Here is a 27,785-nt window from a genome sequence, read left to right as displayed (position 1 = left end):
TCATGGTTTATGCAAAGTATAGGTCCAATAACAAGTATAGATTGAACAAATATTATGAAATGAGTGACCTTCTCATTAATTTCAATTCAAATCAAGCAGCATTTATTAAAATCTGATCATTATAATGGATTATAAATATGACTAAGACATCACCTCAAAGTCTCACAATATGCTAATACATACACAACTAATTGGTTACGTAAGTCAGACTACTATACAGAACTCACACATGTAAATACAGTGACAAACGATCAGAACAAAGGAACTCTTACTTCTTCTGCCAATTGAACAATGGTGAAAAAAACCAGAAGGAGTCAGAATATGCCAGAATGTCAATGGTAAAAAACTCATACTTTATTATGGGGAAACTGTAGAGAAAAAACAACTCTTGAGTTTCTAGAATATGAGAAATCTTTAAAAGTTTGAAAATGTTTTCAGTAATGCTATGACCTGACCATATCTGTGTTTTGGAAGGATAACTCTGGCACTAATAAGGCAGGGTGAATAGAAGAAAAAAGACTAGATATGAGAAAACTTATTGGAAGACCATTGCAATAGCCCAGGGAAATGGTCATGTGACCACACAGATAGAAATAAGAGGATGGGTCTAAGAGATCTGTGGTGGTAGAAACAGTAAGGCTTAGCAATAAATTAAATATTGGTGGTAGAGGGAAAGTGGAACAAAAGTTAAGGACTCTTCCTTGGGCTGCAAGGTGGACAGTTATTTCAGAGACAAGCAATGCAGGCAAAGGAGAATTAGGAGAAACAGGGCACAGAAGTGTTGAAAAAAGTGTTCAGTTTGGGACCTCAGTGAATTTCAGGCTTTTGCAGAAAATCAAAGTGCAGATGTTTAATAGGTAATTGAAACCCTTAAAGAACTCAATTTGGTAAAAAAGACAAAATAGTAGGGGAGACACTCAGAAGCATATTTAGTTGTTGCCATTCTTTGAAAAACTAATAGGAATAATTAGAGCATTATGTTGCCAGTTACTATCCATATTTTCTGCAACTTAATTACTAATCAATTATACTGATCACTTTGAAATTTTAATTCTGGCACTTCTTGCTCCATCCTTGTAAAACTTCATCACTGTGGAATAGAACTATATAAATATATATTAATGTTTATACTGATATGCAAAATAATATATATCTAATATGTTTTATATTATATGAATGTATACTTATATTTACATAAATACAAAATTTATATCATGTCCCAAAAGTCACTATCAGGATTTGGGTTAGTCACCATGATGAAAGTGCATCTTCTTAAACTGCATTACATAAAACAAAATTCTAGAAAGAAGGTATGAGGCCATTGGAATATGCACCAATAACTCCAGGCCCCTGTTTCCTATACAAACAACTCTTGAGTTTCTAGAATATGAGAAACCTTTAAAAGTTTGGAAATATATGCCAAGGATCAAAAAAAATATATTTTGCATGCTGACTGAGCTGTCCAGTTTTTGATATTTTATGTTTTCCTTATTCAGCTCTATTAGTATCCAAAAGCCAGAGCTGGCAGTCACAATAAAAATATGAGAGAACTTAATGAAAATCTAACTAAGAAGTATTTAGCAAAGGGTAAAATGAGCACTGTTATGACATAAAATGCAGGTGAATTTTGAGAATAGGAAAAAAATGAAATTTGGGTAAGGAAAATAAAGCAAAAGGAGTAAATATTTTGTAATGTAGTTGTCAGAGATATCACAGTGAGAGTTTCTCAAACAGTGAAATTTATCACAGCTTATATGCCACACAGCTGGCCCCTTCTCCTCCAGTGTCATCTCTCACAATTCTCCATCTAATCCACTCTGCTTCAACCATGCTAGACATCTTTCAATCCCTTGAGCTTGCCATGCTTTCTCATGTCAACTCCGACGTAATCTTCATTTTTTTCAACTGAGATTTCAATTCCCCAGGCAGGCCTTTCCTCACCACAGCCCAAGTGAAGTCCCTCAGTTATATGCTCTGAAAGCACCCTACGCTTGTACTTTAACAGCCCTCTTTTAATTACTTGTACAATGGTTGTATTCTCCACTATATCTGAAGTGCCATGATGGTAAAGATTTGTCTTATTCCACATTGCAGTCTCATCGGAAAGCACCTGACAGGGAATCAGAGGTCTTGGCTTGTAATCTGATTGGTTTCTAATTAAAAGCCAGGGAGTTGAACTCCAGAATCTGTACTTTATACCATTGAAGTGCACTGTATAGCCTCTCTCAACAAATTGTCAAGGCTAACAGCTGTTTCAAAAAAATATTCTTAAAGGGCTAAAAACTCAATAATGAGTATCAATAATCAACTAAGATAAGGTATATGAATGTTTGTGGAAGCAACTTACCTGGAGAAAAACACTTAATTCTGTGTCAGTTTCTCTAGCTACACAACACTAAAATTAACAAATGATCCCTCTGCTATCCGTAAAGTATAACTAAAATAAATGTGGTGAAATGCTATTTTGGAACTTAAGAGAAAGAGGATCCCTTTTTTTCATCTTAACTGAACCAAAATATCTAAACAATTCACTTTTATTAACAATATAATACCACCTGACAAGTATCAAATCTGACATAATCTGAACAATGATGCAAAGATATTTCTCCCGCAAAGACACTAATGGAATGGTCCTCTGCATTGTAATTTATTATTTACTCATAAATAAAGTCCTATAAAATTAAAAACATACTGCTTAAACATACAGTGGAAATGAAGCAAATCAGTACCGTAGTTTGCAGCATCATAACTCACAGCAAAGTATTTGGGTTTGGCATTCTATGTTTCAAGACTGAAGTATCATGTTTCTCCATAGCTGTGGGTGTGCTGGTCTCCAAACACCCACAAGTAATTGGTTCTGACTGCTGTACTGTTCTCTACTGGGCTGTATGGGACTCAAAAGCTCTTTACTCAAAGCCCTTTCTAGTTATTATAACTCAAGATAAAAGCTCTGGAGCAGTCCTAAGTTAATGGGCCAAAGACCAACATACCGGAAAAGTTAAAGTACTGGCAAGTGTACAACTGATGAGAAATCTTACATGAACTCCAGCATTATTATTGTGTGTTGCTAAAAAAACTGAAAATGTTACCTAAAGAGGGATAGTTTTTAAAGATAATTATGTCTACAATATGATCAATCTCTTTATATGCATTACAATGACATGACATATGTTTTTGATAAATAATGAATATTTATTTTGTATCTGGTGAAATGGCTGGATAGGATAGTAATGAGTACATACTGGCTGCCTTGATTCATTAAATAAGTCATAACAACAACAAGTAATGGTAATACAGTACTTATTATATGGTAAAAGCACTGATATAAGGGTTGTTTTAGTTCTTTTGCCTACAAATAAAAAGATTTCCTCATAGTTAACATATTTCTTAAAATTATAGTATAGCTTAGCTATAGGAAATACATATAACTATCAGAAAATCTTTTTACACACAGATAAGAGAATATTTATTGATCACCTACTAATATGCCAGACACTGTGTCTTTGTTTCATCCTCATAACAACACTACAATGTGGGAATTTTCATCTACTTATTACAAATATCAAAACTGATGATTAGAGTGTTTTAATGGCTAATGAGTAACAGTGTCAGAATGTACATCCAGGCCTGCCTGATTCTAAAGCCTTCTGTGAGAAGGGGAAAATGGCAGCTGGTTAATAGTTTTGAGAGTAGCCAAAATAAATATGAGAGAGGTCAAGAAAGAGCATCAAAAACAAAATGGTCAGAAGTGGAATCAAATCAGATTATAAAGTAAAAAGCTGGAATTGGATGGTGCAAGAATGGATTGGGAACCGATGAAGGTAAGGTTTGGAATGACTATTGCAAGCAGTCTTGGGCTCACTGGGTACGGGCTGTTTGGGTGAGTTGGGTGGCTTTAATTAAGAGGGGGAATGGAACTAAAATAACAATACATTTCCTATTATACAAAATGATAATTTCATTCATTAAACATATGTACTATCCATAAGACCCAAGTCAACATAAAATATATATTTTGATTGCTCTTCCCACTTTACAATGTGTCAAATTGCTATACATTCTTCAGAGACTCCTACACATACATTATCTTCTCAGCACTTTCTTCTGACAATGTTAGAATGTACTCTTCTCTCATTTGTGCATCCACAGATTTTTTTATATGCCTATTTTTGTGATTTGCTTATGTCTCTGTTTCCCTAGCTAGAAGAGGAACTCACAAGGGCAGAGCATGTCTTATTCACCTCTGTCTCCATACCTCAAATAATGTCCACTTAATGATTATTTCTATATTGTTAAATACAGGTAGAAAATGGTCTATGCAATAAGGAACACAGAGACGTGTGAGTTCCAAAGGAAAGGAAATGAGCACACATTCAGTGCTTTTCAGAGATGATGGTACAAAGTACTACCTATATGTCCCTGATGCTCAAACCATCTATGTCAGTGGATATTAACATTCCAAAACATTAGATTAAGGGAAACTCAAACTCAACATACTCAAAACTACATTCACAATATTCCCCCCATTCCACTGTTTTCTTTATCAGTAAATGAGACCATTGATCCATTTCCAAAAGCAAAAAACTAGGAATTGTCCCAGGCACACCATTTTCTCTTGTTCTTCATGTCTAGCTGGTTCCTCACACTGTAGCCAAAGTGATCTTTTTTAAAATGCAAATCTGAGCTCATTCCTCCTTTAAAATTTTTCAGTGAGTTTTCCTTTGCTCTTAGGAAAAAGAACAAAGTCTGACCTCTGCCCTTTTCTCCAGACCATTCTTATATTAGACCTCTCTCGCCTTTGCTTTCTTCCGCCAGCCACACTGGTCTTTCTCAGTTTCTTCTTTCCATCACAGAAACTTTGTAGAAGTCACCACTCCCCTTTTCCTGATCTAGATCACTGTTCTTTTGCATCATTGGATAATTCCTATCCAATCTTCAGTCACTAGCTCAAGCATCACTGACTCTGAAAATGTTTTACTCATACCCTAGTCTAGGACAGCCCCATTGTTTAAAAAACTCATAATCGGTCAAGTTCTTTCCTTTCAGTGCATTGTCTTGGTTAGTAATTACACATTATTTAGTGTGATTATATGAAAAATAATTCCACTTCTAGATTTTAAGTTCATGAGAACAAGGATTGTCTGTTTTGGTTCGTATGATATCTCCAAGAACAGAACTGTGCCCACCAAAAAGCAGATGCTTAATAAATTTTGAATTAATAGATAAAGAAAAGAATTAATAATACAAAGAAGGCCGAGCACAAGTAAGCAGAGGCCTGGGAGTCAACAAAGGAAAAGTAGACATGTGAAACAAAGGAGATGAGTGTTTAAAGAAGAAAGGAGTAGCTAAAGACCTGATGTTGCATAAAAATTGAAAGGGATGGAAAGGAACTAATGGATAGAGCAAGCATAAAATTATTGGTGACTTTTGAAAAATAGTCTCAGCAGAATGACAGACTCAAAAGTCAGATGGTACCAAAGCTCAAGAATAAATGGAAAGTGAGTATATAGAAGCAAGTATAGATTACTTTTTAAGAATGTATCAATGAAAGGAGAGGAAAACAGGCTGCAGAAAGGAGCAGAGAGCTCAGTCACTGGAATATGCTAATGGTGATCAAAGAAGAGGAGTTACATGCTCAAGGCTGTAGTAGGAAGCAGGATAAAATGATGAAATTTGTAGTTGAAAGTGTTAGGTTAGTAAATAATCTTTTCCTGTGGTATAATCCAATGACTTTCTATCAAGATAATGGTTATCAGAATAATAGCTGACTTTTTTTTTTTTTTGACTAAGTGTGAGGCAAGGTCCTAAGTACTTTAACACTTCTCACTAGACTGCCCAACATCTGTATTAGGTAGCAATATCATTAACCCCATTTTACAGATGAAAGCCCTGACATGCAAGCCACATAGTTAGCAACTGACAGAACCAGAATCTGAATCCAAACTTATTTGACTTCTATGGCACACACTATTAACTGGTTAACACAATATCCACTCCTTCCTAACTCCCTTGTCCCTTAACTTATTTCAGCTATGTGTGGCCACATGACCCATTTCCAGCTATTGGAACATAAGCAGAAATCTGTTTGGAGCTTCTTTAGAAGATTTTCCCTTCTTTGAAATATATAAATATTAAATATATGTTTTTAAAAGGAAAAGCCTTTTAAGGTGTGTATAGAGATCTATCTATATACCTATATCTATATATCTATATACATGCCTTTGGAGGCATATATATAACTGAGTAACACATTATATATAAGCTGTTGTTGGGCTATCCCATCCTTCTCACTGGAATGTTACTACAAATCCTAGATCTGGGCTGCAATCTTATGACAATGAGGGAGTAGTAGAGAAATTACAGAAAAGTTGAGCCACTAAACTAATAACAATAACCACCTACTTCTAGACTTCCTGTAATGCGAGAAAAAAAGTTCTCTATTTTTTAATTGCAAGATGAAATTGCATGTATTTATCATGTACAACACATTTTCAAGTATATATACATTGTTAAATTGTTAGATCTAGCTATTAACAAATGTAATACCTCACATAGGTATCGTTTTTATGGTAGGAACCCTTAAAATCCACTCTTTGCACTTTTCAAGAATACGTCTTTATTAACTATAGTCACCATGTTGTACAAGAGATCTAGAACTTATTTCTCCTACCTAACTGTAATTATATATTCTCTGACCAACATCTCCCCATTGCTCTCTCTCCCCTATCCACTCCATCCTCTGGTAACCACCAATCTGTTCTCTACTATGAGGTTACTTGTTTAGATTCTACATATGAGTGAGATGCAGTGTTTGTCTTTCTATGCCTGGCTTATTTCATTTAACATAATGTCCTACAGATTCATCCATGTTGTCGTAAATGACAAGATTTCGTTCTTTTTTACGACTGAATAGTATTTATTATGTATATATACTATATTTCCTTCATCCATCCATCCATTGATGGACACTTAGGCTGATTATATATCTTGGCTATTGTGAACAGTGCTGTGATAAACATAGGAGCGCAGATATCACAACTCTGAAACTACTAGAAGAAAGCATGGGGTAACTCCATGCCATTGTTCTTGGCAATGATTTTTTGGGATATGATCTTAAAAATTATATGCAATACAACCAAAAACAGACAAATGCGATTAAATCAAACTAAAAAGCTCTGCACAGCAAAGGAAACAATCAACACAGTGAAGAGACAACCTACAGGATGGGAGAAAATATTTGCAAGCTATACATGTGACAGGGATTAATATCCAAAATAAGTAAGGACCTCTAACAATAGCAAGAAAACAAATAACCTGATTTTTAAAATGGGCAAAAGACCTAAATAGACATTTCTCAAAAGAAGACATACAAATGGACTTGTGTATGAAAAAATGCTCAATATCACTAATCTTCGGGGAAATGCAAATGAAAACCACAATGAGATATCACCTCACTCCTGTTACAATGGCTGTTAACAAAAAACAAAAGATAAGTGTTGGTGAAGACGTGGAGAAAAAGGAATCTTTGCACACGCTGGTTGTAGGAATGTAAATTAGTACAGTCATGGAAAACAGTATGAAGATTCCTCAAAAAATTAAAACTAGAACTATCATGTGATCCAGCAATCCCACAACTGGGTATATATCCAAAGGAAATGAAATCAGTAGGTCAAAGAGATATGCGCACTCCTCTATTTTTTAAATTGTGCTAGTCAGATCTTCTGTTATTTACACCTGATAGTATTCCTAATGGATATACCTCCAAAGCCCATGCTCTTACCCACCAAACAATATTGCCTCTCATCTACGAAATACAAAGACAAAGGTTTGTTTTTCTATTTCCTTTAGAGAGTTCTTAAAAAGTTCAAGTTAGTAAATGCATATACAAATATCTTTTAAAAATAAAAACCATCACACAAGTTTATTATTTTTAAAACAGTGATTCTCAACTAAGGGAAAAGACAGGAGAGCACACATCCTGTCAAGACATGGAATTGGGCAGCATTCTCCTAAAAGGATACATCAGAATCACCTGGGGGAATGTTTCGCATTCTATAGATGAAGAATCACTACAGGGTGAACCATCTCTTCTAAATGAAATGATGAATGTATCCTGTAGATATGTTCAAAGGGGAAAAAGTGTTGAAAAGTAGAGTTTTGGTATGATTGTGAAGTATATTAAACACACTTTCATTAAGATATCAGTAGCGTAACAATTGGTAAAAATTTTTGGAACCCACGGAGAAACAATCTCACCTTACCAAGTTTGGTCTTCTTAAAATACAAGTAATTGTTTTCATATTAAATAACAGTAAAAAGTAGTAATAGTATGACCCAACAAAGCTGATACAACTTAAACAGTATAATGTAAAATTAACCAATCAAATCAGAGATAGCAAGAAGAAATATGAAAAAGGCTAGAATAAATTCCAAATACTCCAAAATTTTAAAAAGTTTCCTCTTCATTTTAATTTCTCTTGGTGGAGGTCAAATTTACTAATCTCTCATTAAGAAATTAACAAAGTCATTTTAAAAACTGAACTCACAACTCTGGTCCCAAATAACTGTCTTTTTACATTTATTGGATAGATTACTCGTACTTTTCACTCAATAAATATTTATTGAGCACCTACTATAAGCCAGACTGCTCTTAGAACTGGAAAGTCTTAACAGCAATGAAGCAAACACTGAAAACTGCCTTTCTTTATGGAACCTACATTCTACTGAGGAAGGAGCAAACAAACAATAAGCAAATAAATAAAATGCACCATATGTCAGTTTGACGATAACTGCTAGAGGGGAAAAAAATAAGAAAGGTGGAAGGTAGACAGGAAATATGGGGCAAAAGAGAGACAGTTTTTCAGGGGGCAGGGAGAGTTGATGGTTGTGATTTTGAATACCCTGGTTACAAAGGATTTATTTGGACGCTGGCACTTGAGCCAAGACTAGAAGGTGAGGAATCAGACCACAGCCATGCATCTATTTGTTTTAATGCTAACTCTTTTTCTGTTGAATGTAGCATTTGAAGCGGGTCAACAGCGGAATAGCAAAATGATACTGTTTTTCTTTATAAGTCACTGTAATCAAACCAAAAAAAATTAAAAAGACATTCCAATTATTGGTAACCTTCTGAATCTACTGTTGACATATCAGCCTTTTGAGGGAAAGTTTAAATGTTTACTTATTCCTTTATGTCACAATACATTCATTTTTTAAAACTCCCCAAAAATATATTTCAAGTAGAGAAATTTTTTTTTTTTTAGTGTTAAGTGAGCCCAAACTTCATCATGGGCTGAAATTTTAAGACATGAAAATAGCTGCTGAAACTGAATTTTAATCATATAGATGAATCACAACATGCATCTTTAGCTAGGCATGTATTATGGATAAGTCTAGATTTCTACAGAGAATAATCACATGTTCTAATTACCATTTTGGTTATACGCATAATTAATAATATTCTGTCTTAATGGGACACACTGAATCTTCAGACAGTTGCAAGCTTTAACTATGCATACTGCCAAATTCAACTGTCAGCTGCACTGCCAAACACAAAGGAATCTTGATGTAGTGTTTTAGCATTGATAACAATATGCATATCTTTATACATAATACAATGAAAAAATTAATTGCTTTTCTTCTTTCAAATTTTTCTCCACACAAATAATTTTATGTCACTTGATTGATCATTTACCCTAAATTATATATATTGGCAAATGATCTTATGAACATTAAAAACATAAATGTAAATGTAACCCAAGATTCAAAAAGTTATAAAAATATTGTTAGACAAGGACTTACTGATTGTAAACTTGCATTTTCACGTAAACAAGCTGTGTGAAGTTCTGATTTCAAGGCTGCAATGTGACTTCGATGAGATGTCATTTCCTTCTCTAATGTCATGATTCTAGTGCTTGCAAGCTGGTAGACATCCATGAAACTTTTAATCATAGCCTTAAGAAATAAAAATAATGTCACATATAATTCAAATAAATATGTCCCCAAAGGAGAATTTCCATAATTTGAAAGCAAAACCATTAAAATTTTAAAATAAACAACTTTTCATCTTTCTTTAAAATAATAAAGCTAAACCTAACATTTTATATTGAGAACAGTGACTATTTTAAGAAAGTTTGTGAGAAAATAATTGAGACTTCATTCCAGAGTATTTATTTAAATAAGATGTACTTTGATCTATTGTGCTTAAAATTTAGAATGCGGTTTTAAAAGATGGCACAGTTATTTTCTGTAGTAAAGTTAAATTCAAGTTGTAATTTGACCTAAATTTCCATCTTAAGAGAGGTGCAATCTTAATGGGTATACAAACAAGGTATTTCAAAATAAGCTGAGTTAGTAAAATTTTTAAACCACCTAAAAAACAAATGTTTTGAAACAAAAGGAGCTAAAATAATCTTGTGATTTTTAAGAGTAAATGTGATTCTTATTTTGTAAGAAAAGTATAATTATGTTGATTCATGTAACACAGAAATGCCCTTACATTGGACTATACATAATAAAACAATTAACATAAGCAAGTTCTGGTAACCTATTATCTCCTCTAAACAGTACCATATTTAGGGAATTATTGTATCACAGTTTAATCATATTTTATAGAATTTTTCTTCTAAAGCAATTTGTAATAAATTTTAAGTCCAGGATACTATTATGCCTTTTTAAAGGAGACTTTCAAAATAACTCAAATATAGCAAAATAAATCCCATATTTCAAAGACATTTTCAAAAATAATACTATATTGTTTACAAGAAAAATGTTCCTACAACAGCCACAACTTAGTATAAAGGTAGACAGTCTGAGAATTTGCAAATTACATTCTATCTTAAGGTTGTAAATTAGGAAAGCTTTGAGAAATTATGTATTTGAGCAGTTGTGAATGCATGTGAAAAATAATTTAGTGAACAAAGACAGAGTAAGAAACAATATAGTAAATGTATGCAAAACAGAGGTAAGTTAGTTACTTGCAGGTAAGAGTAAGAAAATTCAGACCTTTTGGCCTAATAAATTCTTATTTGCCCTCAAAAAACCAGCTCAGATCTTTTTCAAGAATCCTCTTGTGAGCCCAAAAAAGGCAGTGTTAACTTCTATCCTGGTTTTCTGTGGATCCTTCATGCCTGCTTCTACTGTTGCATATTATTGCTTTAGTAGAAATTTATTAGTTTACATGTTTATCTTCTTTACTAGACTGAGAAGCTACTTAAGGCAAGATACTCTGCCTATACATATTTGGAGCTTCAGGGATAGTGAGTACTTGTTTGAATGACTGCTTGAATTAATGACTGCTTTGAAGAATGAATGGATGAAAAATTAGAAAAGATAAAAACCATAAGTTGAAACCATATATTGTTATAAAATGCCTTCTACGAAAGGGTGATGATGTTTGGGAAAGTATAATCTTAACACCTAATCTAATGAATAAATTATTAATAATACTCTGTTCAAGTTGAAAAAAAGCAGAAGCATAACTATAGGCTAGGCATAAAAGGGTGAAGTACACAAATGTTAATTTATTAACCAACACTACATAAGCATTATATGACTTCTTACCTGGGAATATCTGACATATCCTAACCTATCTTCCTTTGAATCATTTCAAGGCAAGTTTATAGCTAATACTAATACAAACTATATCTCTGCATCTCAAAAGTATGTGAAAATCAGAAACTTGAATTACATCTGTTTTTTCCTATGTCAAGTCTCTCTCAATTCTTATAAATTCATGTATCTTCTCCATTGAGATAGTAGACCAGAAATCACAAGTCCTGGTTTTTTTTTTTTTTCTGAGTCTTACTTTGATTCAACTCTATGTTGTTGGGAAATGCCACATAATCCCTCTGAGCCTCCATCTCCTCCCTCTATAAAATGGGAAAAAGAGTCGTTTTCTTGTCTACTTCCAAAACTGTTGTAAGGCTCAGAAAATTAAAATAGCTAATGTTTACTAGGGATTTACTGAAGTGCAGGGACCATGTAGCATATTACATGCTTAATTTCATTTATCTTTACAGTAACCATATGGAGTAGATACTTTTTTTAATCTAGTTTTTCAGAGCAAAACACAGGAGCTTGGAGGGATTAAATAACTAGTCCAAGTTTACAATTAGTTGTACAATGGTCAGGATACAAATCCAAGTATTTCTCAAGCAAACTCACTCTCTTAACCCTTCACCTATGTTGCATTTAATATAAGAAAGCACTCTAAAAATGGTAAACTATTGAATTTCATTGTAGTATTATTACTATTGTTCTATTTTTAAATTCTCCACTAAAATCTAAATGAGACAATCTGAAATATGTGGTTCTTAGATATATACTTTTATTGTCTAAGGACCTAAAATGTATAAAAGGCTGAAACATGCATAAATGCTTATTGAATGGTAAGAAAGTTCCCTTCCATCAGTAATAGGCTCCTGGATTATTATTTCACTGTAAGTCACAAGAGAATTGACCTTTAATATTTTAGGATTAAAAGTTCCACATTTTAAAAGTTATCCCATTTTCTAACCTTGGAGAAACACATTTTATGAATTTCATCTTTATGACATTCTAAAAGGAATAAATAATATAAATGATATTCCTTCAAATCTCCCTTTAAAAATAAATTTTTTGAGAAGTAATGTCAGAAATTTTATATAGTGGATAACTCTTCCTTGATCTACTTTTAATAACTAAATTCTAATATTCAGCGAAATATTAATATAAACCACATACTACTTCTTTATAACACTAAAAAGAATATAATAATCCAATTTTTCTTAGGATTTCAAATCTTAAACATTCCAACTCTCTTAAAGTAGTATTTTGAGAGACAAAATAAAATTTGTATAATAGTGCATATGATACTTTTTCAGAGCAGCAAGGTACAATGATCAATACAGAAAGCAGGTTTCATGTTACTAATATGTATAAAATATACTATGCTCTTCTAAACAAAAGTCTCCTTCAAAACTGGAAGGTATGAGGAGTATCACTGAAATGGCAATTATTCAAAGAAGCCACATATCCTTTGAAGAATAAAGAATGTTAACTTCCAGTATTAATAAGTGATTCAAACTATACAGTAAAGCATACCAATGAAAAATTCAACTCCTTAATACAAAAGAAAGGTGTCAAGTTGGCAGAAGAAATGGAAATGACAGTCTGACTGTCTAACCCTCTACGACATATCCTGTTCCCTTATTAAAAGATCACATTATTTTACATTAGGAAACAATGACAAAACAGCATGATATTATATACAGCAAGTCCAGGATTTGAGAACTTATCCTGTTGTCATCCTTGGCCCCAGGGGCTTATTTTGACTATACCATGCAGTGAGATCTGTATCTCAGTGAGACTCGGTTAGTATATGAAGAACAAAAGACAGTTTCTGAACAAGAATAGCCTTTGTTTAAGGGATAATCTATAGTGTTTATAATTGACAGTAATAAGACGAGGGAATTCAAACATAAAATTCCACATCTATCCATTTTTTAAAAGTGTACGTGCATTAGAATATAAAAAGTTATAAGATACAAACAGTTGCATGTCACTTGAAGACTAGAAGACCATTTATATAATTTGTTATGTACATATTATTAAGTAGTTTAGACTGACTTCAAATTTGAACATCAGGAACAATGGGATAGTTGGGGGACTGATATTAAGAGAAGAAGAAAATAGTGAAAAATATCATAAAGCCTACATGCCAAAATATCAAATATTTTATCTACATTTTTGAGTAATTGGAAAGCAAAAAACTCTATCACTTCGACTTTAATTCATATAATTATATACATACTTCATTTCTATATCTTACGTAAATATATTGTGTAAAACACATATGCCAAATATACTAAATATGTGAAATGTAATACATTCTCACAAAATCAGGATAAAAATTCATACCTTATAACATTTTATAGAAATTAAATGAGTATTAATACATGAAATGAGCTTAAACTACCTGGCATATAATAAAGGCTCAGGTAAATGTTACCTGTAATAATGATATCAAATAGGAAAATTACTATTTAAGCTCATAAAAGAAAGATTCAATATTTCTGAGAGGTGTAAATTATTAGACATAATGTGAATATTTTAAATATAAAATATTTAAATATTTATTTCTCTTTGATAATAAAAGTTACTATTTATTATGTCATTCCTAAGGAAGAAGATCTCACAATGATAACATGGTTATGCTCAACAAAATACTAGCAAATAGAATCCAACAGCACATCAAAAAGATAATACACTATAACCAGGTGAGATTTACTGCAGGAATGCAAGGATGGTTCAATATATGTAAATCAACAAACATGATATATCACATAAACAGAATTAAGGACAAAAACCATAAGATCATCTCAATAGATGCAGAGAAGGCATTTGGTAAAATTCAGTATACCATCATGATAAAAATCCTCAAAGAACTAGGCAGAGAAGGGAGAGGCCTCAACATAGTAAAGGGCCTATATGACAAACCAACAGCCAACATTATACTTAATGAAGAAAAGTTGAAAGCATTCTAAGAACTGGAACAAGAAAAGGACGTCCACTTTTTGCCACTTTTATTCCACACAGTACTGAAGTCCTTGACAAAGCAATCAGGCAAGAGGAAAAAAATAACAGGTATCATAATTGGCAAACAGGAAGTCAAATTATCCCTGCTCGCTGATGATATATTCTTCTATCCAGAAAATCCTAAAGAACCCACCAAAAAACACTTAGATTTGATAAATTCAGTAAAGTTTCAGGATGCAAAATTAATGTACACAAATCAGCAGCATTTCCATACACCCATAATAATCTATCTGAGGACAAAATCAAGAAAGCTATCCAATTCCCAATAGCTATAAAAAAAAACACTAGGAATATATTTAACCAAAGACGGAAAGATCTATAAGTAGAACTACAAAACACTGATGAAAGAAATTGTAGATAACACAAACAATTGGAAAAATATCCAATGATCATGAATTGGAAGGATTAATATCGTTAAAATGACCATATTGCCCAAAGCAATCTATAGATCCAATGCAATCTCTATCAAATTACCAATGTCATTTTTCAAAGAGTTAGAAAAAACAATCCTAAAATTCATATAAAACAAAAATAGAGGATTCCTGGCAAGATGTCTGAATAGGAACAGCTCCAGTCTGCAGCTCCCAGCAAGACCAATGCAGAAGGTGGGTTACTTCTGCATTTCCAACTGAGGTACCCGGTTCAACTCACTGGGGCCGGTTAGACAGTGGGTACAGCCCACAGAGGGTGAGCAGAAGCAGAGTGGGGCATCACCTCACCCGGGAAGCACAAGGGGTCAGGGAACTCCCTCTCCAAACCAAGGGAAGCCATGAGGGACCCTGACGTGAGGGATGGTGCTATCCGGCACAGATACTACGCTTTTCCCACAGTCTTCACAACCCAGACCAGGAGATTCCCTTGGGTACCTACATCACAAGGGCCCTGAGTTTCAAGCACAAAACTGGGTGGCCATTTGAGCAGACATCAAGCTATCTGCAGGAGTTTTTTTTTCATACCCCATTGTCACCTGGAACACTAGCAAGACAGAACTGTTCACTCCCCTGGAAAGGGGCCTGAAGCCAGGGAGCCAAGTGGTCTTGCTCAGAAGAGACCGCCCCCATGGAACCCAGCAAGCTAAGATCCACTGGCTTGAAATTCTCGCTGCCAGCACAGCAGTCCGAAGTCAACCTGGGATGCTCAAGCTTGGTGTGGGGAGACATGTCCACCATTACTGAGGCTTGAGAAGGCGGTTTTCCCCTCACAGTTTAAACAAAGCCTCCAGGAAGTTCTGACTGGACAGAGCCCACTGCAGTTCAGCAAAGCCACTGTAGCCAGACTGCCTCTCTTGACTCCTCCTCTCTGGGCAGGGAATCTCTGAAAGAAAGGCAGCAGCCCCAGTGAGGGGCTTATAGATAAAACTCCCATCTCCCTGGGACAGAGTACCTGGGGGAAGGGGGGCAGCTGTGGGCACAGCTTCAGCAGACTTAAACGTTCCTGCCTGTCAGCTCTGAAGAGAGCAGCAGATCTCCCAGCACAGCACTCGAGCTCTGCTAAGGGACAGACTGCCTCCTCAAGGGGGTCCCTGACCCCCATGCATCCTGACAGGGAGACAACTCCCAGCAGGGGTTGACAGACGCCTCATATACAAGCGCTCCGGCTGGTATCTGGCAGGTGTCCCTCTGGGACGAAGCTTCCAGAGGAAGGAGCAGGCAGCAATCTTTGCTGTTCTGCAGCCTCTGTTGGTGATACCTAGGCAAACAGGGTCTGGAGTGGAATCCCAGCAAACTCCAGGAGACCTGCAGAAGAGGGACCTGACTGTTAGAAGGAAAACTAACAAACAGAAAGCAACAGTATCAAAATCAACAAAAAGAACAAGCATGCAAAAACTCCATCCGAAGGTCACCGACAGCAAAAACAAAAGGTAGACAAATCCACTAAGATGAGGAAAAACCAGCTCAAAAAGGCTGAAAATTCCAAAAACCAGAATCCCTCTTCTCCAAATGATCACAACTCCTCGCCAGCAAGGAAACAAAACTGGATGGAAAATGAATTTGACAAATGGACAGAATTGGGCTTCAGAAGGTAGGTAATAACAAACTCCTCTGAGCTAAAGGAGCATGTTCTAACCCAACACAAGGAAGCTAAGACAAGAAATAAGTAAAATCACGGCAGAACTGAAGGAGATAGAGACACAAAAAACTCTTCAAAAACTCAATGAATCCAGGAGCTGTTTTTTTGTAAAGATTAACAAAATATATACGCTGCCAGCCAAACAAATAAAGAAGAAAAGAGACAAGAATCAAATAGACACAATAACAAATCATAAAGGGGAGATCACCACTGCTCCCACAGAAATACAAACTACCATCAGAGAATACTATAAATACCCCTATGCAAATAAACTAGAAGATCTAGATGACATGGATAAATTCCTGGACACATATACCCACCCAAGACTAAACCAGGAAGAAGTCGAATCCCTGAATAGACCAATAACAAGTTCTGAAATTGAGGCAGTAATTACCAACCAAAAAAGCCCAGGACCAAACGGATTCACAGTGGAATTCTATCAGAAGTACAAAAAGGAGCTGGACCATTCCTTCTGAAACTATTCCAAACAAGAGAAAAAGAGGAACTCCTCCCTAACTCATTTTATGAGGCCAGCAACATCCTGATAGCAAAACCTGGCAGAGACACAACAAAAAAAGAAAATTTCAAGCCAATATCCCTGATGAATATCAACGTGAAAATCCTCAATAAAATACTGGCAAACCGAATCCAGCAGCACATCAAAAAGCTTATCCACCATGATCCAGTTGGCTTCATCCTTGGGATGCAAGGCTGGTTCATCATATGCAAATCAATAAATGTAATCCATCACATAAACAAAACCAATGACAAAAACCACATGATTATCTCAATAGATGCAGAAAAGGCCTTCAATAAAATTAAACACCCTTTCATGCTAAAAACACTCAATAAACTAGGTACTGATGGAACATATCTCAAAATAATAAGAGCTATTTATGACAAACGCACAGCCAATATCATACTGAATGGGCAAAAACCGGAAGCATTCCCTTTGAAAACTAGCACAAGACAAGGATGCCCTCTCACCCCTCCTATTTATTGGAAATTGTGGCCAAGGCAATCAGGCAAGAGAAAGAAATAAAGGGTATTCAAATAGGAAGAGAAGAAGTCAATTACCTCTGTTTGCAGATGACATGACTGTATATTAAAAAAACCCCATCGTCTCAGTCCCAAAACTCCTTAAGCTGATAAGCAACTTTAGCAAAGTCTCTGGATACAAAAACAATGTGCAAAAATCACAAGAATTCCTATACACCAATAATAGACAAACAGAGAGCCAAATAATGAGCAAACTCCCATTCACAACTGCTACAAAGAGAATAAAATACCTAAGAATATAAGGTACAAGGATGTGAAGGACCTCTTCAAGGAGAACTACAAACCACCGCTCAAGGAAATAAGAAAGGACACAAACAGATGGAAAAACATTCCATGCTCATGAATAGGAAGAATCAATACCATGAAAATGGCTATACTGCCCAAAGTAATTTATACATTCAATGCCATTGCCATCAAGCCACCATTGGCTTCCTTCACAGAGTTAGAAAAACACTACTTTAAATTTCATATGGAACAAAAAGAGAGCCTGTACAGCCAAGACAATCTGAAGCAAAAAGAACAAAGCTGGAGGGATCACACGACCTGACTTCAAACTATACCACAAGGCTACAGTAACCAAAACGGCATGGTACTGGTACCAAAACAGGTATGTAGACCAATGCAACAGAACAGAGGCCTCAGAAATAACACCACACATCTACAACCATCTGATCTTTGACAAACCTGACAAAAACAAGAAATGGGGAAAGGATTCCCTATTTAATAAATGGTGTTGGGAAAACTGGCTAGCCATATGCAGAAAACTGAAACTGGACCCCCTTCCTTACACCTTATACAAAAATTAACTCAAGGTGGATTAAAGATTTAAATGTAAGACCTAAAACCATAAAAATCCAACAAGAGAACCTAGGCAATACCATTCAGGACATAGGCATGGGCAAAGACTTCATGACTAAAACACCAAAAGCAACGGCAACAAAAGCCAGAATTGACAAATGGGGTCTAATTAAACTAAAGAGCTTCTGCACACCAAAAGAAACTATCATCAGAGTGAACAGGCAACCTACAGAATAGGAGAAAATTACTGCAATCTATCCATCTGACAAAGGGCTAATATCCAGAATCTACAAGGGACTTAAACAAATTTACAAGAAAGAAACAAACAACCCCATCAAAAAGTGAGCAAAGGATATGAGCAGACACTTTTCATAAGAAGACATTTATATGGCCAACAAACATATGAAAAAAAGCTCATCATCACTGGTCATTAGAGAAAGGCAAATCAAAACCACAATGAGATACCATCTCACGCCAGTTGGAATGGCTGTCATTAAAAAGTCAGGAAACAACACATGCTGGAGAGGATGTGAAGAAATAGGAACACTTTTACACCATTGGTGGGGGTGTAAATTAGTTTAACCATTGTGGAAGACAGTCTGGTGATTCCTCAAGGATCTAGAACTAGAAATACCATTTGACCCAGCCATCCCATTACTGGGTATATACCCAAAGGATTATAAATCATGCTACTATAAAGACACACGCACACATATGTTTACTGCAGCACTGTTCACAATAGCAAAGACTCGGAACCAACCCAAATGTCCATCAATGAAGACTGGATAAAGAAAATGTGGCACATATACACCATGGAATACTATGCAGCCATAAAAAAGAATGATTTCATGTCCTCTGCAGGGACATGGATGAAGCTGGAAACCATCATTCTCAACAAACTATCACAAGGACAGAAAACCAAACACCCCACTTTCTCACTCATAAGTGGGAGTTGAATAATGAGAACATATGGGCACAGGGAGGGGAACATCACACACCGGGGCCTGTTGTGGGGTGGGGGGCTAGGGGAGGGATAGCATTAGGAGAAATACCTAATGTAGGTGATGAGTTGATGGGTGTAGCAAACCAACATGGCACAGGTATACCTATGTAACAAACCTGCACATTCTGCACATGTATCCCAGAACTTAAAGTATATTAAAAAAAGAGCCCTAATAGCCAAAGCAATCCTAAGCAAAAAGAACAAAGCTAGAGACATCACATAACCTAACTTCAAATTATACTACAAGGCTATCGTAAGCAAAATAGCATGGTACTAGCACAAAACAGACATACAGATCAATGGAACAGAATGGAGAAGCGAGGAATAAAGCCACATACCTACAGCCAACTGATCTTTGACAAAGTCAATAAAAATATACACTGGGGAAATTATACCCTATTGTTATAACAAAAAAACAGATGCATTCATATGTCTGTTGTAGCACTATCCATAATAACAAAGATATGAAGTCAACCTAACTGTCCGTCAACAGATGATTGGATAAAGAAAATATGGTGTGTGTGTGTGTGTGTGTGTGTGTGTGCACATATATACCATGGAATACAACACAGGCATTAAAAAAAGGAAACTCATGTCTTATGCAGCCACATGGATATAATTAAGGCCATTATAAGTGAAATAACTCAGAGACAGAAAGTCAAATACTGCATGTTCTCACTTATAAGTGGGAGCTAAACAATGGCTACACATGGAAGTACAGAGTGGAATAACAGATATTGGAGATTACAAAAGGTGAGAGGGTGGTCAGGATATGATGTTCACTACTCACATAATGGATATACTAAAAGAGCAGACTTCACCACTATGCAATATATGCAAGTAAGAAATCTGCATTTGTACCTCCTAAATATGTAAAAATAAAAATAAAAAGACCACCATTAGAAAAAAATGTGTCTTCATTGGCACCAGGAATTAAAGGAAATTTCATTATTTTCTTCATTATCAAAAAGTTACTCTGATATGGTTGCTCATTTATTAGACTTACTTTCATTCCAATATTTTAATAATATTTTACAAATTTTAAGGATATAGGAGGGAATGAGATACAGACGGCCTATTACTAATAGCACGCAAACAGCAACTGTGACTCCAATAAAATCCCCATCAAAGATGTGGAATTGTACTCTAGTTTGATGTTTGGTTTCTGGTCCTGCCCACAAATACTTGTTTCGCCAGGACATTCCATTCCAGTAAAAAGTTGTGTAAGAAGGACTATATCAGGATGTCAGACTGCCAACCACCTTCTCGCTTTGCCAGTGGAATTATGTGCACGTGTGTGTGTGTGTGTGTGTGTACGCACATGTACATGAATGCATAAAAGCTGCTAAAAATGCTATCAGCTGAGAAGAATCCTGATTAAGCAATAAGGAATAGAAAGTAGAAAGGATCACAAACAAAATTTTAGAGAAACCCTATTTAAAATAAGAGAATACTTCTACAATGGTAACACCAACTACAGTTAGGCTTGAAGCTCAGCATAAACAGGTAGGAGACGGGGTAGAAGGCCTTAGCCTTGCTTTATTAATAGCCCTAAAACATTTACTCTCAACAAAAAGTTGTTACATAGTGAAAGAAATATGATTGGATAAGCTTTATTATTTTTAAAGACTTATATAACTCTGTGATATACTCAATTGGAGTCGTACTTCTGATTCCCCATGCCCATCACCCATGATACATGGTTAAACAGGTAATGCAAATGGAAGAAGTGCACAGTTGGTTGTTGATATAGTTTGCATGTATGTCCCCACCCAAGTCTCATGTTGAATTGTAATCCCCAGTGCTGGAAGCGGGACCTGGTGGGAGGTATTTGGATCATGAGCGGAGATCCCTCATGGCTTGGTGCTTTAAAACCATGTGGCACCTCCCTCTCCCCAACACATCACTTGCTCCTACTTTTGCCTACTGACGTGCCTGCTCCCCATTCACCTTCTGCCAGAATCTTAAGCTTCCTGAAGCTTCCCTAGAAGCCTACAGAACCATCAGTCAATTAAATTTCTTTTCTTTATAAATTATCCAGTCTCAGATATTTCTCTTTTTTTTTATACTTTAACTTTTAGGGTACAGGTGCACAACGTGCAGGTTAGTTCATATGTATACATGTGCCATGTAGGTGTGCTGCACCCAGTAACTAATCATTTAACATTAGGTATATCTCCAAATGCTATCCCTCCCACCTCCCCCCACCCGACAACAGGCCCCAGTGTGTGATGTTCCCCTTCCTGTGTCCATGTGTTCTCATTGTTCAATTCCCACCTATGAGTGAGAACATGCAGTGTTTTGTTTTTTCTCCTTGTGATAGTTGGCTGAGAATGATGGTTTCCAGCTACATCCATGTCCCTACAAAGGACATGAACTCATCATTTTTTATGGCTGCATAGTATTCCATGGTGTATATGTGCCACATTTTCTTAATCCAGTCTATCATGGTTGGACATTTGGGTTAGTTCCAAGTCTTTGCTATCGTGAATAGTGCCACAATAAACATACGTGTGCATGTGTCTTTATAGCAGCATGATTTATAGTCCTTTGGGTATATACCCAGTAATGGGATGGCTGGGTCAAATGGTATTTCTAGTTCTAGATCCCTGAGGAATCGCCACATTGACTTCCACAATGGTTGAACTAGTTTACAGTCCCACCAACAGTGTAAAAGTGTTCCTATTTCTCCACATCCTCTCCAGCACCTGTTGTTTCCTGACTTTTTAATGATTGCCATTCTAAATGGTGTGAGATGGTATCTCATTGTGGTTTTGATTTGCATTTCTCTGATGGCCAGTGATGATGAGCATTTTTTCATGTGTCTGTTGGCTGCATAAGTGTCTCCTTTTGAGAAGTGTCTGTTCATATCCTTTGCCCACTTTTTGATGGGGTTGTTTTTTTCTTATAAATTTGTTGGAGTTCATGGTAGATTCTGGATATTAGCCCTTTGTCAGATGACTAGATTGCGAAAATTTTCTCCCATTCTGTAGGTTGCCTGTTCACTCTGATGGTAGTTTCTTTTGCTGTGCAGAAGCTCTTCAGTTTAATTAGATCCCATCTGTCAATTTTGGCTTTTGTTGCCATTGCTTTTGGTGTTTTAGACATGAAGTCCTTGCCCATGCCTATGTCCTGAATGGTAATGCCTAGGTTTTCTTCTAGGGTTTTTATGGTTTTAAATCTAACATTTAAGTCTTTAATCCATCTTGAATTAATTTTTGTATGAGGTGTAAGGAAGGGATCCAGCTTCAGCTTTCTACATATGGCTAGCCAGTTTTCCAAGCACCATTTATTAAATAGGGAATCGTTTCCCCATTTCTTGTTTTTGTCAGGTTTGTCAAAGATCAGATGGTTGTAGATATGCAGCATTATTTCTGAGGGCTCTGTTCTGTTCCATTGGTCTATATATCTGTTTTGGTATCAGTACCATGCTGTTTTGGTTACTGTAGCCTTGTAGTATAGTTTGAAGTCAGGTAGCATGATGTCTCCAGCTTTGTTCTTTTGGCTTGGGATTGACTTGGCAATGTGGGCTCTTTTTTGGTTCCATATGAACTTTAAAGTAGGTTTTTTCCAATTCTGTGAAGAAAGTCATTGGTAGCTTGATGGGGATGGCATTGAATCTCTAAATTACCTTGGAAAGTATGGCCATTTTCACGATATTGATTCTTCCTACCCATGAGCATGGAATGTTCTTCCATTTGCTTGTATCCTCTTTTATTTCATTGAGCAGTGGTTTGTAGTTCTCCTTGAAGAGGTCCTTCACATCCTAGGTATTTTATTCTCTTTGAAGCAATTGTGAATGGGAGTTCACTCATGATTTGGATGTCTGCTTGTCTGTTATTGGTGTATAAGAATGCTTGTGATTTTTGCACATTGATTTTGTATCCAGAGACTTTGCTGAAGTCGCTTATCAGCTTAAGGAGATTTTGGGCTGAGACGATGGGGTTTTCTAGATATACAATCATGTCGTCTGCAAACAGGGACAATTTGACTTCCTCTTTTCCTCATTGAATACCCTTTATTTCCTTCTCCTGCCTGATTGCCCTGGCCAGAACTTCCAACACTATGTTGAATAGGAGTGGTGAGAGAGGGCATCCCTGTCTTGGGCCAGTTTTCAGAGGGAATGCTTCCAGTTTTTGCCCATTCAGTATGATATTGGCTGTGGGTTTGTCATAGATAGCTCTTATTATGTTGAGATAAGTCCCATCAATACCTAACTTATTGAGAGTTTTTAGCATGAAGCGTTGTCCAATTTTGTCAAAGGCCTTTTCTGCATCTATTGAGATAATCATATGGATTTTGTTGTTGGTTCTTTTATATGCTGGATTACGTTTATTGATTTTCGTATGTTGAACCAGCTTTGCATCCCAGGGATGAAGCCCACTTGATCATGGTGGATAAGCTTTTTGATGTGCTGCTGGATTTGGTTTGCCAGTATTTTATTGAGGATTTTTGCATCGATGTTCATCAAGGACATTGGTCTAAAATTCTCTTTTTGGGTTGTGTCTCTGCCAGGCTTTGGTATCAGGATGATGCTGGCCTCATAAAATGAGTTAGGGAGGATTCCCTCTTTTTCTATTGATTGGAATAGTTTCAGAAGGAATGGTAACAGCTCCTCCTTGTACCTCTGGTAGAATTCGGCTGTGAATCCATCTGGTCCTGGATTTTTTTTGGTTGGTAAGCTAATAATTATTGCCTCAATTTCAGAGCCTGTTATTGGTCTATTCAGAGATTCAGCTTCTTCCTGGTTTAGTCTTGGGAGGGTGTATGTGTCCAGGAATTCATCCATTTCTTCTAGATTTTCTAGTTTATTTGCGTAGAGGTGTTCATAGTATTCTCTGATGGCAGTTTGTATTTCTTTGGGATTGGTGGTGATATCCCCTTTATCATTTTTTATTGTGTCTGTTTGATTCTTCTCTCTTTTCTTCTTTATTAGTCTTGCTAGCAGTCTATCAATCTGGTTGATCTTTTCAAAAAACCAGCTCCTGGATTCATTGATTTTTTGAAGGGTTTTTTGTGTCTCTATCTCCTTCACTTCTGCTCTGATCTTAGTTTTTTCTTGCCTTCTGCTAGCTTTTGAATGTGTTTGCTCTTGCTTCTCTAGTTCTTTTAATTGTGATGTTAGGATGTCAATTTTAGATCTTTCCTGCTTTCTCTTGTGGGCATTTAATGCTATAAACTTCCCTCTACACACTGCTTTGAATGTGTCCCAGAGATTCTGGTATGTTGTGTCTTTGTTCTCGTTGGTTTCAAAGAACATCTTTATTTCTGCCCTCATTTCATTATGTACCCAGTAGTCATTCAGGAGCAGGTTGTTCAGTTTCCATGTAGTTGAGCGGTTGTGAGTGAGCTTCTGAATCCCGAGTTCTAGTTTGATTGCACTGTGGTCTGAGAGAAAGTTTGTTATAATTTCCGTTCTTTTATATTTGCTGAGGAGTGCTTTACTTCCAACTATGTGGTCAATTTTGGAATAAGTGCAGTGTGGTGCTGAGAAGAATGTATATTCTGTTGATTTGGGGTGGAGAGTTCTGTAGATGTCTATTAGGTCTGCTTGGTGCAGAGCTGAGTTCAATTCCTGGATATCTTTGTTAACTTTCTGTCTCGTTGATCTGTCTAATGTTGACAGTGGGGTGTTAAAGTCTCCCATTATTATTGTGTGGGAGTCTAAGTCTCTTTGTAGGTCTCTAAGGACTTGCTTTATGAATCTGAGTGCTCCTGTATTGGGTGCATATATATTTAGGATAGTTAGCTCTTCTTGTTGAATTGATCCCTTTACCATTATGTAATGGCCTTCTTTGTCTCTTTTGATCTTTGTTGGTTTAAAGTCTGTTTTATCAGAGACTAGGATTGCAACCCCTGCCTTTTTTTGTTTTCCATTTGCTTGGTAGATCTTCCTCCATCCTTTTATTTTGAGCCTATGTGTGTCTCTGCACGTGAGATGGCTTTCCTGAATACAGCACACTGATGGGTCTTGACTCTTTATCCAATTTGCCAGTCTGTGTCTTTTAATTGGAGCATTTAGCCCATTTACATTTAAGGTTAATATTGTTATGTGTGAATTTGATCCTGACATTATGATGTTAGCTGGTTATTTTGCTCGTTAGTTGATGCAGTTTTTCCTAGCCTCGATGGTCTTTACAATTTGGCATGTTTTTGCAGTGGCTGGTACTGGTTGTCCCTTTCCATGTTTAGTGCTTCCTTCAGGAGCTCTTTTAGGGCAGGCCTGGTGGTGACAAAATCTCTCAGCATTTGCTTGTGTGTAAAGGATTTTATTTCTCCTTCACTTATGAAGCTTAGTTTGGCTGGATAAGAAATTCTGGGTTGAAAATTCTTTTAAGAATGTTGAATATTAGCCCCCACTGTCTTCTGGCTTGTAGAGTTTCTGCCGAGAGATCCACTGTTAGTCTGATGGGCTTCCCTTTGTGGGCAACCCGACCTTTCTCTCTGGCTGCCCTTAACATTTTTTCCTTCATTTCAACTTTGGTGAATCTGACAATTATGTGTCTTGGAGTTGCTCTTCTCGAGGAGTATCTTTGTGGCATTCTCTATATTTCCTGAATTTGAATGTTGGCCTGTCTTGCTAGATTGGGGAGGTTCTCCTGTATAATATCCTGAAGAGTGTTTTCCAACTTGGTTCCATTCTGCCCGTCACTTTCAGGTACACCAATCAGATGTAGATTTGGTCTTTTCACATAGTCCCATATTTCTTGGAGGCTTTGTTTGTTTCTTTTCATTCTGTTTTCTCTAAACTTCTCTTCTCACTTCATTTCATTCATTTGATCTTCCATCACTGATACCCTTTCTTCCAGTTGATCAAATCGGCTACTGAGGCTTATGCATTCGTCACGTACCTCTCGTGCCATGGTTTTCAGCTCCATAAGGTCCATTAAGGACTCCTCTGCATTGGTTATTCTAGTTAGCATTCGTCTAATCTTTTGTCAAGGTTTTTAACTTCTTTGCCATGGGTTCGAACTTCCTCCTTTAGCTCGGAGTAGTTTGATCGTCTGAAGCCTTCTTCTCTCAACTTGTCAAAGTCATTCTCCATCCAGCTTTCTTCCGTTGCTGGTGAGGAGCCGAGTTCCTTTGGAGGAGGAGAGGCACTCTGATTTTTAGAGTTTCCAGTTTTTCTGCTCTGTTTTTCGCCATCTTTGTGGTTTTATCTACCTTTGGTCTTTGATGATGGTGACGTACAGATGGGGTTTTGGTGTGGATGTCCTTTCTGTTAGTTTTCCTTCTAACAGTCAGGACCCTCAGCTGAAGGTCTGTTGGAGTTTGCTGGAGGTCTACTCCAGATCCTGTTTGCCTGGGTATCAGCAGTGGAGGCTGCAGAACAGCGGATATTGGTGAACAGCAAAGGTTGCCGCCTGATCATTCCTCTGGAAGTTTTGTCTCAGAGGAGTACCCGGCCATGTGAGGTGTCAGTCTGCCCCTACTAGGGGGGTGCCTCCCAGTTAGGCTACTCGGGGGTCAGGGACCCACTTGAGGAGGCAGTCTGTCCGTTCTCAGATCTCAAACTCCGTGCTGGGAGAAGCACTACTCTCTTCAAAGCTGTCAGACAGGGACATTTAAGTCTGCAGAGGATTCTGCTGCCTTTTGTTTGGCAATGCTCAACCCCCAGAGGTGGAGTCTACAGAGGCAGGCACGCTTCCTTGAGCTGCGGTGGGCTCCACCCAGTTCGAGCTTCCCGGCTGCTTTGTTTACCTACTCTAGCCTAGGCAATGGCGAGCGCCCCTCCCCCAGCTCGCTGCCGCCTTGCAGTTTGATCTCAGACTGCTGTGCTTGCAATGAGTGAGGCTCCGTGGGTGTAGGACCCTCTGAGCCAGGCACAGGATATAATCTCCTGGTGTGCCATTTGCTAAGACTGTTGGAAAAGTGCAGTATTAGGGTGGGAGTGACCCAATTTTCCAGGTGCCGTCCGTCACCCCTTTCTTTGACTAGGAAAGGGAATTCCCTGACCCCTTGTGCTTCCCAGGTGAGGTGATGCCTTGCCCTGCTTCAGCTCATGCTCGGTGCGCTGCACCCACTGTCCTGCACCCACTTTCCAACACTCGCCAGTGAGATGAACCCGGTACCTCAGTTGGAAATGCAGAAATCACCTATCTTCTGCATTGCTCATGCTGGGAGCTGTAGACTGGAGCTGTTCCTATTCAGCCATCTTGGCTCCACCTCAGTTATTTCTTTATAGCAATGCAAGAATGCCCTAATACAGTTGTGTTTACTAAATCAGGGAATTCATGTTTCAATACTACCTATCAATCAAACAAAAGTTGTAATTTAA

General features: G+C 36.8%; 1 protein-coding gene across 32 annotated transcripts in view; it reads right to left on the bottom strand.

The window, feature by feature from the left end:
• CCDC171 (coiled-coil domain containing 171) overlaps positions 1-27,785 on the bottom strand; it is a 556,042-nt gene that overhangs the window by 178,703 nt on the left and 349,554 nt on the right. For 26 of the 32 annotated variants that reach the window (XR_007061261.1, XR_001746227.3, XR_001746228.3 and 23 more), the window contains one exon: positions 9,802-9,954. The exons of 2 other annotated variants lie outside the window; for them this stretch is intronic. Coding sequence is in view for 26 of the 30 variants with exons in the window: in XM_047422930.1 (XP_047278886.1) it covers positions 9,802-9,954 (153 nt within the window). In the remaining 4 variants the exon portion in view is untranslated. 4 more of the 32 variants (XM_017014432.3, XM_017014433.3, XM_017014438.3 and 1 more) reach the window with 4 other exon arrangements.

The sequence above is a fragment of the Homo sapiens genome, chromosome 9, assembly GCF_000001405.40.
Source record: "Homo sapiens chromosome 9, GRCh38.p14 Primary Assembly".
Classification (NCBI taxonomy): Eukaryota; Metazoa; Chordata; class Mammalia; order Primates; family Hominidae; genus Homo; species Homo sapiens.
Note: the sequence above shows the minus strand (reverse complement) of the source record. Positions and strands in the feature narration are given on the sequence as shown.